Raw genomic sequence first — 15,741 nt, forward strand, 5'->3', positions numbered from 1 at the left:
GTGCTAAAACTATAGAGAAAGGGGAAGAAATGGTAGGAAGTGGTGAGGGGAAGGAGGAAGGTTCGACTGGGGAGGCAAACACGAGGTAGCCACTCTTCTGTTTCTTAAACTTGGTAGTGGGCACATGGGTACTCGCTTTTATTAGTATTCTTTTAACTCTATATAAGTGCGTGATGGATTCATTTCTCTATTTCCTAAATAGTTCATAACAATCTTTTAAAGAACTTTCAGGAACCAAATGGAGGTTTGACCCAGCAGTAGCAAAGTCTTCATGTTACTATAGTAGAGCTGGAAATTCTTAACATAAGGATACAGTATTTTTCCCAGTTCTTGGAGGAGAGGGTCAGAGTAAAAAGTAAATATAAATAAATAAATCATGGGTAAAAAGAATCTCCTCCCAGTCAGCACCCAACTAAATATGGAAACTGACTTCAGTTGAGACATGAAGCTGTTCTTCATTCATTCTAGCAAAGATATTGACTGAACTATTTGGAAAACATGTTTATCATTGTCTGAGGTGATCTGCCATAAGCTGCTATATGGCACACTGTGTAAGAATGAACTTTGACTGTGATGCACTTATGTATATTTAAAAAATTGCTCATCCTCCCTAGCATTTGTTTCTAAAACATTTTGATTACTTAGAGTGAAAAATTCCTTTGGAAACATTTTTTAAAATGCAAATTTAGGTCAGGTACGGGGGCTCATGCCTGTAATCCCAGCTACTTAGGAGGCTGAGGTGGGAGGATTGCTTGAGGCCAGGAGTTCGAGGCTGCAGTAAGCTATGATTGCACCACTGCACTCCAGCCCGGACAACAGAGCAAGACCTTGTTTCTAAAACAGAAAAAAGAAGCAAATTTAAAGAAGGTTTTTTTTATTTTATGTAATAAATGCTCTCTATAAAAGTTCTATAAAGCACATTTAAAGGTGAATGCTTGCCTGTAATCCCAGCACTTTCAGAGGCCAAGGTGGGAAGATTGCTTGAGCCCAGGAGTTCAAGACCAGCCTGGGCAATGTAGTGAGACCTCATCTCTACAAAAAAATGAAAATAAGCGGCAGAGTGTGGTGGCTCACACCTGTAATCCCAGCACTTTGGGAGGCTGAGCTGGGTGGATCACTTGAGGCCAGAAATTTGAGACCAGCCTGGCCAACATGGCAAAACCCCGTCTCTACTAAAAATACAAAAATTAGCCGGCGTGGTGGCACGTGCCAGTAATCCCAGCTACTTGGGAGGTTGAGGCACGAGAATCGCTTGAACCTGGGAGATAGAGGTTGCAGTGAGCTGAGATCACACCACTGCACTCCAGTCTGGGTGACAGAGCAAGATTCTGTCTCATAAAAAAAAAATAAAAATAGCCAGGTTTGGTGGTGCACTCCTGTAGTCCCAGCTACTCTGGGGACTGAGGTGAGAGGATCACTTGAGCCCAGGAAATTGAGACTGCAGTGAGCTGTGATTGTGCCACTGTACTCCAGCCTGGGTGACAGAGCCAGACCCTGCCTCAAAAAAAAAAAAAAAAAAAAAAAAAAAAAAAAGAGTGAATACTCAGCTTTTGTTGCACGTGGGACTTGAGAGAGAACTGGGTAAGGGTGTCCTCTTTCTACTTGCTTCCTTTTGTCAGTAGAACCACTGTCGTGTCAACTATATGAGAAATCATACCCTCTCAGAACTTACTCTGTGTTGATGTTTCAGTTTATTAAAAAACATAAAACATAAACACTCTTACAAATATTTATTTATCGGAAAGAGTTCTGGTTTTCAGGTTAACACCAGCAAGTCACAAATCCGCTGCAGTACATCTCGTTAAAGCCCTGCTCGCTTCAGTCTCTATGAATTCAAATTAAAGCAAGTGATTGGATTTTGCCATCTACTGGGAATGAATTTGTCTTATTTAGTCCCTAATTTGATCATGAGAATTTTATAAAATCATGTTAGAGAATTACAAAATACCTATTACATTGTTCAATTCACCACATGTCATGGCTGGCAAAGGCTCAGGTAATTTAGATGCTTGTAATTTTCTAAATGGTATTACGCTTTTAAACTATACCCTTGGGTCCAAATCCACATTAACTAACTGACAAAAAATTATAGATAATTTTATTTGAGGCAACACAAAAGGGCAGAATTGTGGCAGGCGTAATAAAACATCCCTTAAATAAAGGGATCTGAGATCCCAGAGCACGGGCTCAATTAAGCTAACTACCACTAGTTAAGGACGGGTCTAACCACCACTAGTTTGTCTGCCACGAGTTCAAGGCTAGTTCAGGAAACACCATCTGACTGTATAGCTAGGAGACCTTGCACATGTTCTGTAGGAAGGAGCTCACTGAGTCCTTCAGGAACATACACACTCTTGGATGAGCTCACTTCATGACCCTCCCCAAATCGCCCAAGGTGACATGATGCTCAGTAGAAGGACCTGGTGAAAGAACAAAGAGTGTTTCACGGCTCTCCCTTAAATACTGTATTGAGAAATAAGGAATCTCTGTGCTGCTCTTTTCAGGAATCAAGCAGTGCTCTCCACCTGGGCTGCATTTTCGAGTCACCTACAGAGGCTGTAAAAATCCTCATACCCTGGATGCACCTCAGACCAATTATATCAAATCTCTGGGGTGAGAGCCAGCCAGCAGTGTTTTCTAATTCCCCAGGTGACTCTGATGAGTGCCACGGTTGAGAACGACTGTAGTAGCTATTTGAGAAACTGATTACTTGGCAGAGCAATGCCCACAAGGAGGTGTTTTGAAGTTACATAAATAACACTGACAAGAGATAACCTTGTCCCATTATGTATTACATAATGGGAAAACCAGAAATTGACCACAGATTTCATTGACTGATTCACTTGGTGTCTAATTAATCTGTGATTACAGGCTTGTAAGTTGCTAACCCGGCAGTAAACATTCAGTCCATTTCAGCCAATTGGGGGACGGGTTGGAGGTAGAAAAGTTGTTTGATCATTGATGATGCTTCTATATCTAAGAGAATACCATTTTGGCAGGGGAGAGGCCCTTGGTGTATGAAGTTAATCACTGTGATAGGCACCCAGTTGAATTCTAAAAGCATTAGGCAAAGACTCAAGTGAACGTTTAGGAAGAAAGCCATTATTTGGTATTTATAAAATGCAGCAGGTCTGGAAATGGAGCAAGATAACACTCCCTATAGTCAAAGTCCTTTACAATAAAAGAGGGTAGGATTTGATAGAAGAGAAGGGGTCATGATGGATTCAAACATCTTTACATCCCCCAAACATATATCATTGGAATGTTGAGCGTCTTCTTCATTTTCTACTGTTGTATTAAGAATATTTTCAAACATACAGAAAAGTTGAAAGAATTGGACAGTAAAAATTCATTAATTCATTGCCTCCAGCAGGGGTTGGCAAACTTTTCCTATAAAAGAAAGAGAGTCAATATATTAGGCCTTGGAGGCCAATGGGCAAGATGGAGCAACTATTCTCACCAGAAAGCTAGTAGTCTTTTTTTTTTTTTTTTTTTTTTTTTTTTTTTTTTTTACATACTACTTTTAAAAATGTTAAAACTACACTTGGCTCGTGGGTCATACAAAAATAGGTAGTGGGCCAGATTTGGACCACAGTCTGTAGTTTGTCAACCCCTGACCTAAAGTTCAACTGTCATTTTGCTCTTGTAGGGGCAAACACCTTTTTAGGGGTTTGCGGCTGGGCCTGCGAATTAAATTGACATATAAGACAGATCAACAGGAGAAAAGCATACATGTTTATTTAATGAATTTTACATGACATGGGAGCCTTCATAAGGAGTGAAGACCCAAAGATGAAGTTAGGGTTGAATACTTATGTGCTGAATTGGACGAGTAGTAATCTATGAAAGTGTGACGAGGCAGAGGAGCCTGGGCTGGGGGGTTAGCTGGGTGAAGTGGCCAGGAGGATGAGGGTTAGTCTAACAAGGTTGGTTCATGCAGATTTCCCTCAGCCTCAACTTCCTGTCTTTGATGATAAGAATGATGCTTCCTTCTAGTATCGGAAGGGCATCTTTCACATGGGAATTTCATCTCCAGCTTTTAAGAAACAAAATGGGCCAGTTGCGGTGGCTCATGCCTGTAATCCCAGCACTTTGGGAGGCCAAGGCGGGCGGATCACAAGATCAGGAGATGGAGTCCATCCTGGCTAACAGGGTGAAACCCCATCTCTACTAAAAGTACAAAAAATTAGCCGGGCATGATGGCGGGTGACTGTAGTCCCAGCTACTCAGGAGGCTGAGGCAGGAGAATGGCGTGAACCCAGGAGGCAGAGCTTGCAGTGAGCCGAGACCGCACCACTGCACTCCAGCCTGGGCAACAGTGCAAGACTCCATCTCAAAAAAAAAAAAAAAAAAGAAAAAGAAACAGAATGGTCAGGTGATGTTCTTGTTCTTGTACCTGCTGTTTTTCAAGAGCCTTTAACCCAAAATAGTCAGTTTGCCAGAGTGGCATATTTTGGGGTGGCATATTCCTTTTTTTTTTTTTTTTTTGAAACAGGATCTTGCTCTGTCACCCAGGCTACAGTGTAGTGGCACGATCACGGCTCACTGCAGCCTTGACCTTCCGGGCTCAAGTGATTCTCCTACCTCAGCCTCCCAAGTAGCTAGGACCACAGGTGCATGTCATCATGCCAAGCTAATTTTAATTTCTTTTTTTTTTTCTTTGCAGAGATGGGGTCTCTCTATGTTGCCCAGGCTGGTTTTGAACTCCTGGGCTCAAGCGATCCTCCCACCTCGGCCTCCCAAAGTGCTGGGATTACAGGTGTGAGCCACTGTGCCCAGCCTGGGGTAGCATATTCTTAACTACTTCACTCTCCTTGCCTTGTCACATAGTCAGCCAGCTCTCCATCTCTTAATCTAGGATATATTTCAGAGTCAAAAGTTAACAGTTAACATCAATAGGTACATGTCTCTTCTCAACATAACAAAAGGTAATGTGAACAGGATAAAATGCCATAAATCAAGTGAGACCTTGTTAATGATTTATTCAGTCCTCTTTAGGATCTTTTGGTACTCTAGGACTCCTTACGATTTACCATGCATTGAGTTTTTAATATTTCAGTTAATATAAAATTATAGTTAAATCAAAAATGAAAATGGTTTCTGTTCCATGCTATTGAGTGAATCTAAACTTTGAACGTGTCTCTCAGAGGAATTATAGCTCTTTTCCTAGCCATGGATTGAAGGAGTTCATTCCCTCTTGTTCTCCATCCTCTGTTTCAGATAAAGACCATTTTGAGCGGCTTTATCATCAGGGGCTACTTGGGGAAGTGGACCCTGCTAATCAAGACAGTCACGCTGGTGCTGGTAGTGTCCTCCGGTCTGAGCCTTGGGAAGGAAGGGCCGCTAGTGCACGTGGCTTGTTGCTGTGGCAACTTCTTCAGCAGCCTTTTCTCCAAGTACAGCAAGAATGAGGGCAAGAGGCGGGAGGTGAGCCAGCTCAGCTTCCATCTGCAGCGAAACTTTCTTCTCAAAGCCCCCTCCTGCTGTCTGACTTGCAGGTTTGCACGTTTGTTTTCATGGAAGGCCTTGAAGCTTATGTAGAACTATTTGTTTTGTAGGTGCTTTCAGCTGCAGCGGCTGCTGGAGTCTCTGTTGCCTTTGGTGCACCAATTGGAGGCGTGCTTTTCAGTCTAGAAGAGGTGAGAATGGGCAGCTGAGGGAATTCGTGATTTTGAGCAGCAAGGCCCGTTGAGGGTTAGAATCAAAGAAGTATTGGATAAGATTCCGGCAGTTAATTAAGGAGCCACAATTTCCACTGTTTTTTTTTTGTTTTGTTTTTGTTTTTGTTTTTGTTTTTTTTGAGACTGAGTCTCACTCTGTCACCCAGGCTGCAGTGCAATGGCGCAATCTTGGCTCACTACAACCTCCGCTTCCCGGGTTGAAGCAATTCTCCTGTCCCAGCCTCCTGAGTAGCTGGGACTATAGGTGCACGCCACCACGCCTGGCTCATTTTTGTGTTTTTAGTAGAGATGGGGGTTTCACCATATTGGTCAGGCTGGTCTTGAACTCCTGACCTCAGGTGATCCACCTGCCTCGGCCTCCCAAAGTACTGGGATTACAGGCGTGAGCCACAATACCCGGCCACCAGCGATAAATTCCTGTTTTCAAGTATTGTTTCAAAAATTGCCAAGGTGATTTTTTAAAAAGATTTACAGTATTCTCCCTCTCATAACCAACTTAATTAAGCATTTTTGATTTTGGTAACCCAAACGGGTTATTCCAGGGGTTGGCAAACGTTTCTGTAAAAGGCCAGGTAGTAAATGTTTTTGGTTTTGTGGGCCATGCAATTTCTGTTGTAGCTGCTCAGCTCTGCTGTCATAGCATGAAAGCAGCTGTGAACAATACGTACACAAATGGGCATGTCTGCATTTCCATAGATGTTTCCTTATGGGCACTGAAATTTGAATTTTATGGTTTTCACATGTCACAAAATATTGTTCTTCTTTTGAATATTTCAAATCAAAAGATTTTTTCACCTTTTTCAATCAATTAAAAATGTAAAAACCATTCTTAACTCATGTGCCATACAAATGCATTCACTGGGCTGCACGTGACTTGCAGCCCAGAGTTTTCCAAACCCTGATCTACTCTGTTTTCTGTAGAATCCAATCCAGAGGTTTATTTGCTTCTAGGGGAGTCTCTGTGCCATGAACAGAATTATGATTAAATACTTTTCTCTTAAAAATATAGCCCAAACCCACCTTGATTAGTGTCCATTCCACTTCTAGACATAGTTAGATTCCTCCAGGTATCTTTGCTGATGCGTTTTGGTCACATTAAGTCCAGGCTCATGGAATGAGTGTGTCCACTCTTGGACTTAGAGTGTGACTTTCCTGCCAACCAGAGGGCTTGGCTCTGAGCAGCTCTTTCTCCGGCCAGTCTTTAATTTTCCACTTTTTCATCTCAGGTCAGTTACTACTTTCCCCTGAAGACCTTGTGGAGGTCATTTTTCGCAGCCCTGGTGGCGGCCTTTACGCTGAGATCCATCAATCCCTTTGGGAATAGCCGTCTCGTTCTCTTTTATGTGGAATACCACACGCCCTGGTACATGGCTGAACTCTTCCCCTTCATCCTGCTTGGGGTCTTCGGGGGCTTGTGGGGAACCCTCTTCATCCGCTGCAACATCGCCTGGTGCAGGAGGCGCAAGACCACCAGGCTGGGGAAGTACCCGGTGCTGGAGGTCATTGTGGTGACTGCCATCACTGCCATCATTGCCTACCCCAATCCCTACACACGCCAGAGCACCAGCGAGCTCATTTCTGAGCTGTTCAATGACTGTGGAGCCCTTGAGTCTTCCCAGCTCTGTGACTACATCAATGACCCCAACATGACTCGGCCTGTGGATGACATTCCAGACCGGCCGGCTGGTGTCGGTGTTTACACGGCCATGTGGCAGCTGGCCCTGGCACTGATCTTCAAAATCGTCGTTACCATATTTACCTTTGGCATGAAGGTAAGTGAAAGGGAAGGAAGATGGGGTGGGGACCCATGTCCTTCTGGGGACAGCACCCTACTCTCTAAAATAAAATTGCGGTGGGAAAAAAAGGGGAACTGGCCTTTCTTGAATGTTCTCATGTGCCAGGCACTTGACATTCCTTTAATCAATAGGAAATAACTTCTAATAAACAATAAGCTTATGAAATAGAGATTTTAATCCCATTTTACAACTGAGGAAACTAAGGCTCTGAGATCTTAAGTGGCTTGATCAGACCCACAGCTTATGGGAGACAGAGCTAGGCATCAAACCCACTTCACACATTCCCAGAACAGGTGGTGGTGACCACAGGTTTCCTGCCGCTGGCCAGGTGATGCCAGGTGGTGGAAAAAGCCCAGGTTTGGCTCAGTTTGGCTCATTAAACATGCATTGAGTATCAGCTGTATCTTAGGCATCGTGCTAAGTCTGAGGGATACAGAACCCAAACAGAAAGCTGCCCTTGCAGAGCACACAGCTCTGGGAGAAAGAGATGCAGACCTGGAGTTCTGACATTGTGATGAGCACCACGCTGGTATGACGGGAGCACAGAGTGAGTGTGTCCCCCGTCTGGGTAGGGCTGGGCATGACAGGGGCTCTTTGCACACATCCTCTTTGAAGAACAGAGCTGTGGATGACAGCACATGCTTTCTTTTCCTCCTCCCTCCCTCCCTCCCTCCCTCCCTTCCTTCCCTTCCTTCCCTTCTCTTCCCTCCCCTTCCCTTCCCTTTTCCCTTTTCCCTTTCCTCTTCCCCCTTTCCCCTTTCCCCCTTCCCTTCCTTTCGTCTTGTTCCCAGGCTGGAATACAGTGGCATGATCACAGCTCACTGCAGCCTCAACCTCCTGGGCTCAAATGATCCTCCCATCTCAGCCTCCCAAGTAGCTGGGATCATAGGCGTGAACCACCACACTTGGTGATTTAAAAAAATTTTTTGTACAGATGAGGCTCTTGCTGTGTTGCCCTGGCTGGTCCCAAACTCCCAGGCTCCAGTGATCCTCCTGCCTCAGCCTCCCAAAGTGCTGGGATCATAGGCATGAGCCACCACACCACACCCAACAGCACATGCCTTCATTACTCTTGTTCCTAAAGCCAGAGAAGAGACAGCTGGTTTCCTCTTTCATTGTGTTAAAATCATTTGTTAAAATCATTATGTTAAAATACTTTAAAAGCCCCTCCTAAAGAACTTTCTTTTATGGAACCTGGGATTTTGTTATTATAGCTTTTTTTTTTTTTTTGAAATGAGGTAAAACCCATAAAACATAAATGATCATTTTAAAGTATACAGTTCAGTGGCATTACATACATTCACAATATTGTGCAATTAACACCTGTATTTAGCTTTAGAACATTTTCATCCCCCAAACGGAAATCCCATCTCCATTAACAGTCATTCCCCATTTTTCCCTCCTGCAGCCCCGGCAACCACTAATCTGTCTCTAGATTCGCCTATTTTGGACACTTCATATAAATGATATCATATAATATGTGGCCTTTGGTGACTGGCTTTTTTCGTTTAGTGCAATGTTTTCAAGGTTCATTCACATTGTAGCATGTGTCACTACTTCATTTTTATGGCTGAATAGTATTCCATTCTATGGAGATCCCACATTTTGTTTATCCACTCATCCTTTGATGGACATTTGTGTTGTTTCCACCTTTTGGCTATTATGAATAATGCTATCATTACTTACTTAAAGAAACTTTTATTAGAGTATATCGTTCATATAGAGAAGTGTACAGCTTGATGGAGTTTCATAAAACACACACACACACCTGTGTAACCAGCACCCAGGACCAGAAGCAGAACATTATCCACCTCCCAGAGCCCCCTTTTGTGTTCCATTACTATTGCTTTCTGTGTGGCATTTCTATGAATTGTCTTTTAATTTTATTTATTTTTATTAAAAATATAAAATAGAGACCAAGCTCCCTATGTTTCCCAGGCTGGTCTTAAACCCCTGAGCTCCAGTGATCCTCCTGCTTTGGCCTCCCAAAGTGCTAGGATTACACACATGCGCCATTGTGCCCTGCCTGAATTGTCTTTTTTTTTTTTTTTTTTTTTTGGAGACAGGGTCTCACTCTGTTGTCCAGGCTGGAGTGCAGTGGCACAATCATGGGTCACTGCAGCCTCGACCTTCTGGGCTCAAGTGATCCTCCTGCCTCAGCCCACTGGGACTACAGACACGTGCCACCATGCCCAGCTGATTTTTGTATTTTTTGTAGAGATGGGGTCTTGCCATGTTGACCAGGCTGGTCTGGAACTCCTGGGCTCAAGTGATCCGCCTGCCTTGGCCTCCCAAAGCGTTAGAATTACAGGCGTGAGCCATCACACCCAGCCTGAATTGTCTTTTTTTTTTTTTTTTTTAAATTTAATGGTCGGGCATGGTGGCTCATGCCTGTAATCCAAGCACTTTGGGAGGCCAAGGTGGGTGGATCACTTGAGGTCAGGAGTTCAAGACCAGCCTGGCTAATATAGTGAAACCCCATTTCTTCTAAAAATACAAAAATTAGCTGGGCGTGGTGACACACGCCTGTGGTCCCAGCTACTCGGGAGGCTGAGGCATAAGAATCACTTGAACGCAGGAGGCAGAGGCTGCAGTGAGCTGAGATCACGCCACTGCACACGGGCCTGGGCGACAGAGCGAGATTCCGTCTCAAAAAAAAAAAAAAAAAAAAAAAGAAAAAAATTCTAAGAAGTTGTTTACTTGAGTGTGTCATAGTGGTCAAATACAAACCTGAATTTGGGCCTTAAGAACAAGGATGAGTAGGCCTTATTAAACAGCTGGCTGTCTCTGATCTGTCATCTCCTAGCAAAGGGATTTGTTTTCATGTCTCAGGAAGATGCTGGTAACATTTTATGATGCTTGCTGAGAAAAGTCTCCTTTGATGTTACAGGGATATAAATGATGTAGAATAAGGGGAAGCTCAGAAAGGAATGATTTCCTAAGGAGTATTCTGACTCTAGAAATCACACCCAAGGATCCAAACTTCACTTGAATTAGGTTAAAGTTCTGCTTCCATCCTCAGATGGGTAACCACCTGGGGCTGGCTGGCATCATTGCAGCTGCTGCCCATGGTCAGCGGTCACGTGTCATTTCAGCGAACACAGGGAGTCAGGCTTGTTCTATAGTACATGTGTGGTCATTAGATAAACTAAAATGTATCTTCATCCAGCAGGGTAGAGAACACGCTGGTACCAAGATCTCTTAGTTTACATTCTATTTCTTTGCTGCCCCTATCCTGGCTTGAAAATATTCAGAATACTTATTAGAAAATGTACTTCATTAGGAAGAGGGAATTGCCTCCCTCGTCTCTCTCTGACAGGTATTCAGCTACCACCTACTAGAGAGGGCAGGGAGCCATTGAAGTGCTTTCTGGAAGATCCAGGGTGGCTGCAATGATGGACTTAGCTTCTTTATTTTACCTGGGAGCAGTCGCAGGCCCTTCTTTTCCATTTTCATGCTGTGGCTTGACATTTAATTTTAAAAGCCATTCTGAATGACATGGCAAGGGGCGAGAGAAAGTGGTGTCTCAACTGACAGATGCTCACTTTGAATGTTATTTGCAGTGGGGCTTATCATTCTTTAATCCACAGCAGGCAAACCCAGCCAGCTTTTGAAGGAGAGGGAATCAAAGTATAAAATTGCGTCCTCTCTAAGTTGCAGTAGATATGACTGACTAGGCAGGTCAAATTATTTGTCCCACCTTTCCCCAGCTGACCTATTTTGCAGAGTTGCACCTCCTCTGAAGACTGAAGCTAAATGCAAGCCCGTCGAGGGGGAATGTGTTTCTTGGGGGTCGTGAAGCGGGGACTTGGTCTTTTTCCCTCATGTTGCTTTTCTCTGTGTCTCCTCAAGATCCCGTCGGGCCTCTTCATCCCCAGCATGGCTGTGGGCGCGATAGCGGGCAGGATGGTGGGAATTGGCGTGGAGCAGCTGGCCTACCATCACCATGACTGGATCATCTTCAGGAACTGGTGCAGACCCGGTGCAGACTGTGTCACGCCAGGGCTGTACGCAATGGTGGGAGCTGCGGCCTGCCTCGGTACGACCATGGGTGGGGCAGGGAGGGGGACCGGGGAACTAATCTGGCTTAGAGGACTGCCAAGAAGGAAGACATGGACTTGAACATTTTCTTTACTCAGGATAGGCTGGGTTGTGTGGCTATAACAAGTAAACCCCTAAATCACAATGGCTTAACGCACCAAGGCTATGTCTCGCTCACTATGCAGACACACACACACACACACAAACAGATGCCCTCAACTTATGATGGGGTTAACATCCTGATAAATGCATCATAAACTGAAAATATTATAAGTTGAAAATGCATTGAATACACCTAACCTACCAAACGTTGTAGCTTAGCTTAGCCTACCTTAAACATGTTCAGAACACTTACATTTGCCTACATCTGGGCACAATCATCTAACACAAAGCCTATTTTATAATGAAGTTGAATATCTCTTGTAATTTATTGAATATTGTACTGGAAGTGAGAAACAGATGGTTGCCTGTGTACTTGAGGCATGGTTTCTACTGAATGCCTGTTGCTTTTGTACCACGGAAAGTGGCAAAATTGTAAGTTAAACCATCGTAAGTCAGGGACTGTCTGTAAATAAAAATCTTGGTTTAGCAGAAGGCGCTTCTCCACCTAATCATTCAGGGGCACAAAGGTGGGTCTGTCCCCTGTCTATAGTCCTTAAGAATTTCTGTGATATTCTGTTTATGGGGTTCTTGAAGAGCACCATGCTTGCTTAGTCAGAAGCTTGCAGAGCCCATGTAGGATCCACTCACCAAAAAGCTTGTGTGGGCCACGGTGAATAGACAACCCGGGATCCGTCATTGGAGCAGAGGCCCCAGTGAGATGCAACTTCAGGCTCCCCAACGCAAAGCCACATTTGACAGGGCCTGGCCTGGGTTCCAGAGGCCCAGTGTAGGAAGCATGTAGGAGAGTCTGCTTGGAACAGGTGTGAGGGGAATTTACAGCCTGTCTGTCATTTTCCCCAAATCATGCTTCCGTGAGCTGCCCGGCTTGCACTTTGGAATCTTACTCCTCCCCTCTGTTGCAGGTGGAGTTACCAGGATGACGGTGTCATTGGTGGTCATCATGTTTGAATTAACCGGGGGTCTGGAGTACATCGTGCCCCTGATGGCGGCGGCTGTGACCAGCAAGTGGGTAGCTGATGCATTTGGGAAAGAAGGCATCTACGAGGCCCACATCCACTTAAATGGGTACCCTTTCCTTGACGTGAAGGACGAGTTTACTCACCGCACACTGGCCACCGACGTCATGCGGCCCCGGCGGGGAGAGCCGCCACTGTCGGTGCTCACCCAGGACAGCATGACTGTCGAGGACGTGGAGACGCTCATCAAGGAGACCGACTACAACGGCTTCCCCGTGGTGGTCTCCAGAGACTCCGAGCGCCTCATTGGATTTGCCCAGAGGAGGGAACTGATTCTCGCAATAAGTGAGTAAAGAGAGGGAAGCTCACATTTTACCAAGAGCCGAATGGCATCCTTTGTACCCCTAACATTATCCAAGATTTTTGAGGTGATGTGCATTAAGCCAGGGGCTCTCAAGCTTTCACATGTCTCTGGGTCACCCAGGGGTCTGGCTCAAAAGCAGATTCTGATTGAGCAGGTCTTGGGTGGGATCCGATACTACATCCCTCACAAGTTCCCCATTAACGCCGATATTGCTGGTCCCCACGTCACACTGTAAGGAAAAAGGCTTTAAACCCAAGTCTTGGGTAGACATTCTTGGTTGCAAAGTGACTGCATGTTTGCAAGCAGCCCCCTGGCCCTGCTCCGCTGCTGCCTTTCAGCAATTGTTGGCTAAAGCTGAGAAGGAAGAGAGGCGACAGCCTGGAGTGGCCCGGGCTGAGCTGTCTCAGAGACTTTCAGGTGTACCAACCATCCGGCTGAGATCACGAGTTCTCTGCCCCAGACACCCCTTGCCACCACACAAGTCTTTTGCTTCACTTTGTGATATGATGTCAGATTCCACAGTTAGAGGCCCTTGTGGGTAAATGTGCAGACATCGCTGAAACCAATTGCGTGAGATGATTTTCCTCTTGTGTTTGAATGACAATCAGCTGCACTGAGGGGCAGGCTGTTGAGTTGGGGGAGGGGAGTATGGGATGATGCCCAGGTCAGGGTGTCCCAACGACAGGTGGATCAGAGAAGCAAGCCCATGGGCCCCATCAGCCGAGGGATGGCTCCAACAGAAGGGTAAACAGGAGGTAGGAGAATTCCTAAGACAGAGGGGCCTAGGGCTGCGGGCTGAGGGCCAGAGGTCTGGTTGTGAGTTGCTGGGACCCCAGGCAAGGAGAAGCTGTGAGCCTTGGAGGGGTAGAGTCCTGCTGGGCCTCAAGGTGGCAGGGGCAAGGACCAGCATAGCACATCCACGGGCACGCTCACCATCCTTGCTCTGTGATCTGTACAACATTCCAGCATCTCATGATAGACCAGGGCCCATGGCGTGGCTCCCATGTGCACACGACAGTTTTACTATATATCTTCTAGAGTATTCTTGAAGCTTGTCAATGGGACTTTCCCTGGTCTGATGTTGGAATGGCCCACTGTTAATACATCTCCACCAGGCAACTGCTTACTTCTCTCCCTGTCCTTTGTTTCCTGTTTCCAAGGCACCTCCCTTAAACCTCTTCCCAGTGTTACATAGCTTTAAAATATCTTTAAGGCATCTTCATCAAAGGCTTTATAACAATAAGTTGAGATAAGCTATCCTCTCCCATTTTAGCTTGACACTCAAACATTTTTACCTCCCCCAAAGTAAAAATTGATTTTGTATTTTAGACACCGTAGCAAGTTTGTGCTTAAGTGTTCGGCGATGCTTCTCCTTATTATAGGTCCTGTTGCTTAACGGGTAGGTAGGTGCCTTTGTGTAAATATTGCCTTATAAATAATGAGGTTTTTTTAAGGTTAAGTAGGATTGGGTTTGTTTAAAAATACTGTAATCAGCAGCCTTTAAAAATTTTTTCATTCCCTAGGATCTTTTAAGCAAAGGTTGAAATTTAAAAACTAAGGTAATAAATGTCACAGAATCTATTATCTATTGTATAGCTCCAGGCACACCTGCTAAGAGGCAGCTTACTAATTTTGCTGAAACCCATTACTGTAATCAAGTGGGAAGCAGTAATTGTCATCAACCAGTTAGAGAAGAAATTTAAGCTTACCAACCAAGTACTCTTCTCGAAGCTATGTTTGGAATGTCTGAAGAGGCACCACACGGTGTAAATACTACCTATATGCTTTCAATCAGACCGATAATAATATAGAAGGTGCTATTTACATGGTTTGTGCAGAGGGAAGGAGTGTTTTGCTCTGAGGAATCAGAAAAGCTGTTTTTCTGGCCTGTGGAAATAGAAGAGCCCCTGTACTCTGGTGGAGAAATACAGGTGCATGACCTGTATTTGAGGAATCTTGTGCCATTTTATGAGTATAGAAATATGACAGCATTTAGCTAGACACTATCCCATGCCAATTTCACTTCCTAGAGGAATTGGGAGCAAAGATTATAGACAGATCCAAGATAGTATGGATCAGAAAAGAAAGGTAAGTGAGGTAAATAAGGATTTTTCTTACATATCATGTTTAAAAATTGTAGCAACTGCTCACATGAAGCTGAAAATGTTTTGTTATGTTTTGGAATGCCAAAGCATGGCGTTATCTTTGTTAGAGAGCACGTCGTTAGCACCACCTAGGCAACGTGACTCTCTTCACCATCACATACTAGCACACGGGGCTGTATGCGACTCTTGCTCAAGTTCCTGGCAAATGGGCCTTTACCTCTCATTGCTCTGCAAATATGAGGACTCGCCTGTACTTAGCAGGGCTCAGGTGCTTCTTGTCTTGAGTTCTGCAGTTAAGTAGAGGTTCAAAGAGGACTCAGCGGGGAGTTGCAGAGATGATTAAAGGGTGGAAAGTTAGAGTTTCAGGGAAGAGTTAAGGAAACTCTCAGGTTTTTTTGGTCTGGTGGATGATTTATTAGGCTGGTACAAAAGTAGTTGCGGTTTTTGCCGTTACTTTCAATGGCAAGAACCGCAATTACTTTTGCACCAACCTAATGATTCTCCAGCATGTGGAAGACGCTTAGTTGCAGAAAGGGGTCTACATCCAGCACTGAACAAGAAGCTAAGTGTCAGGTCTGTCAGACAAGGGAGAAAGAGGTTTCTGCCCGGGAGGGCTGTTAGTTACTGGACTAGGTCATGGAGAATAGTGGTGTCATCTACACCTTTCTGTTGGGG

The 15,741-nt window shown here is 44.7% G+C and overlaps 1 protein-coding gene across 2 annotated transcripts in view; it reads left to right on the forward strand.

The window, feature by feature from the left end:
• Positions 1 to 15,741, forward strand: part of CLCN4 (chloride voltage-gated channel 4) — an 80,686-nt gene that overhangs the window by 44,163 nt on the left and 20,782 nt on the right. For both annotated transcript variants that reach the window (NM_001830.4, NM_001256944.2), the window contains 5 exons: positions 5,221 to 5,427; positions 5,559 to 5,639; positions 6,908 to 7,453; positions 11,330 to 11,516; positions 12,544 to 12,942. In NM_001830.4, coding sequence (NP_001821.2) covers positions 5,221 to 5,427; positions 5,559 to 5,639; positions 6,908 to 7,453; positions 11,330 to 11,516; positions 12,544 to 12,942 — 1,420 coding nt within the window. The remainder of the gene's footprint in view (positions 1 to 5,220; positions 5,428 to 5,558; positions 5,640 to 6,907; positions 7,454 to 11,329; positions 11,517 to 12,543; positions 12,943 to 15,741) is intronic.

Source organism: Homo sapiens, chromosome X (assembly GCF_000001405.40).
Source record: "Homo sapiens chromosome X, GRCh38.p14 Primary Assembly".
Classification (NCBI taxonomy): domain Eukaryota; kingdom Metazoa; phylum Chordata; class Mammalia; order Primates; family Hominidae; genus Homo; species Homo sapiens.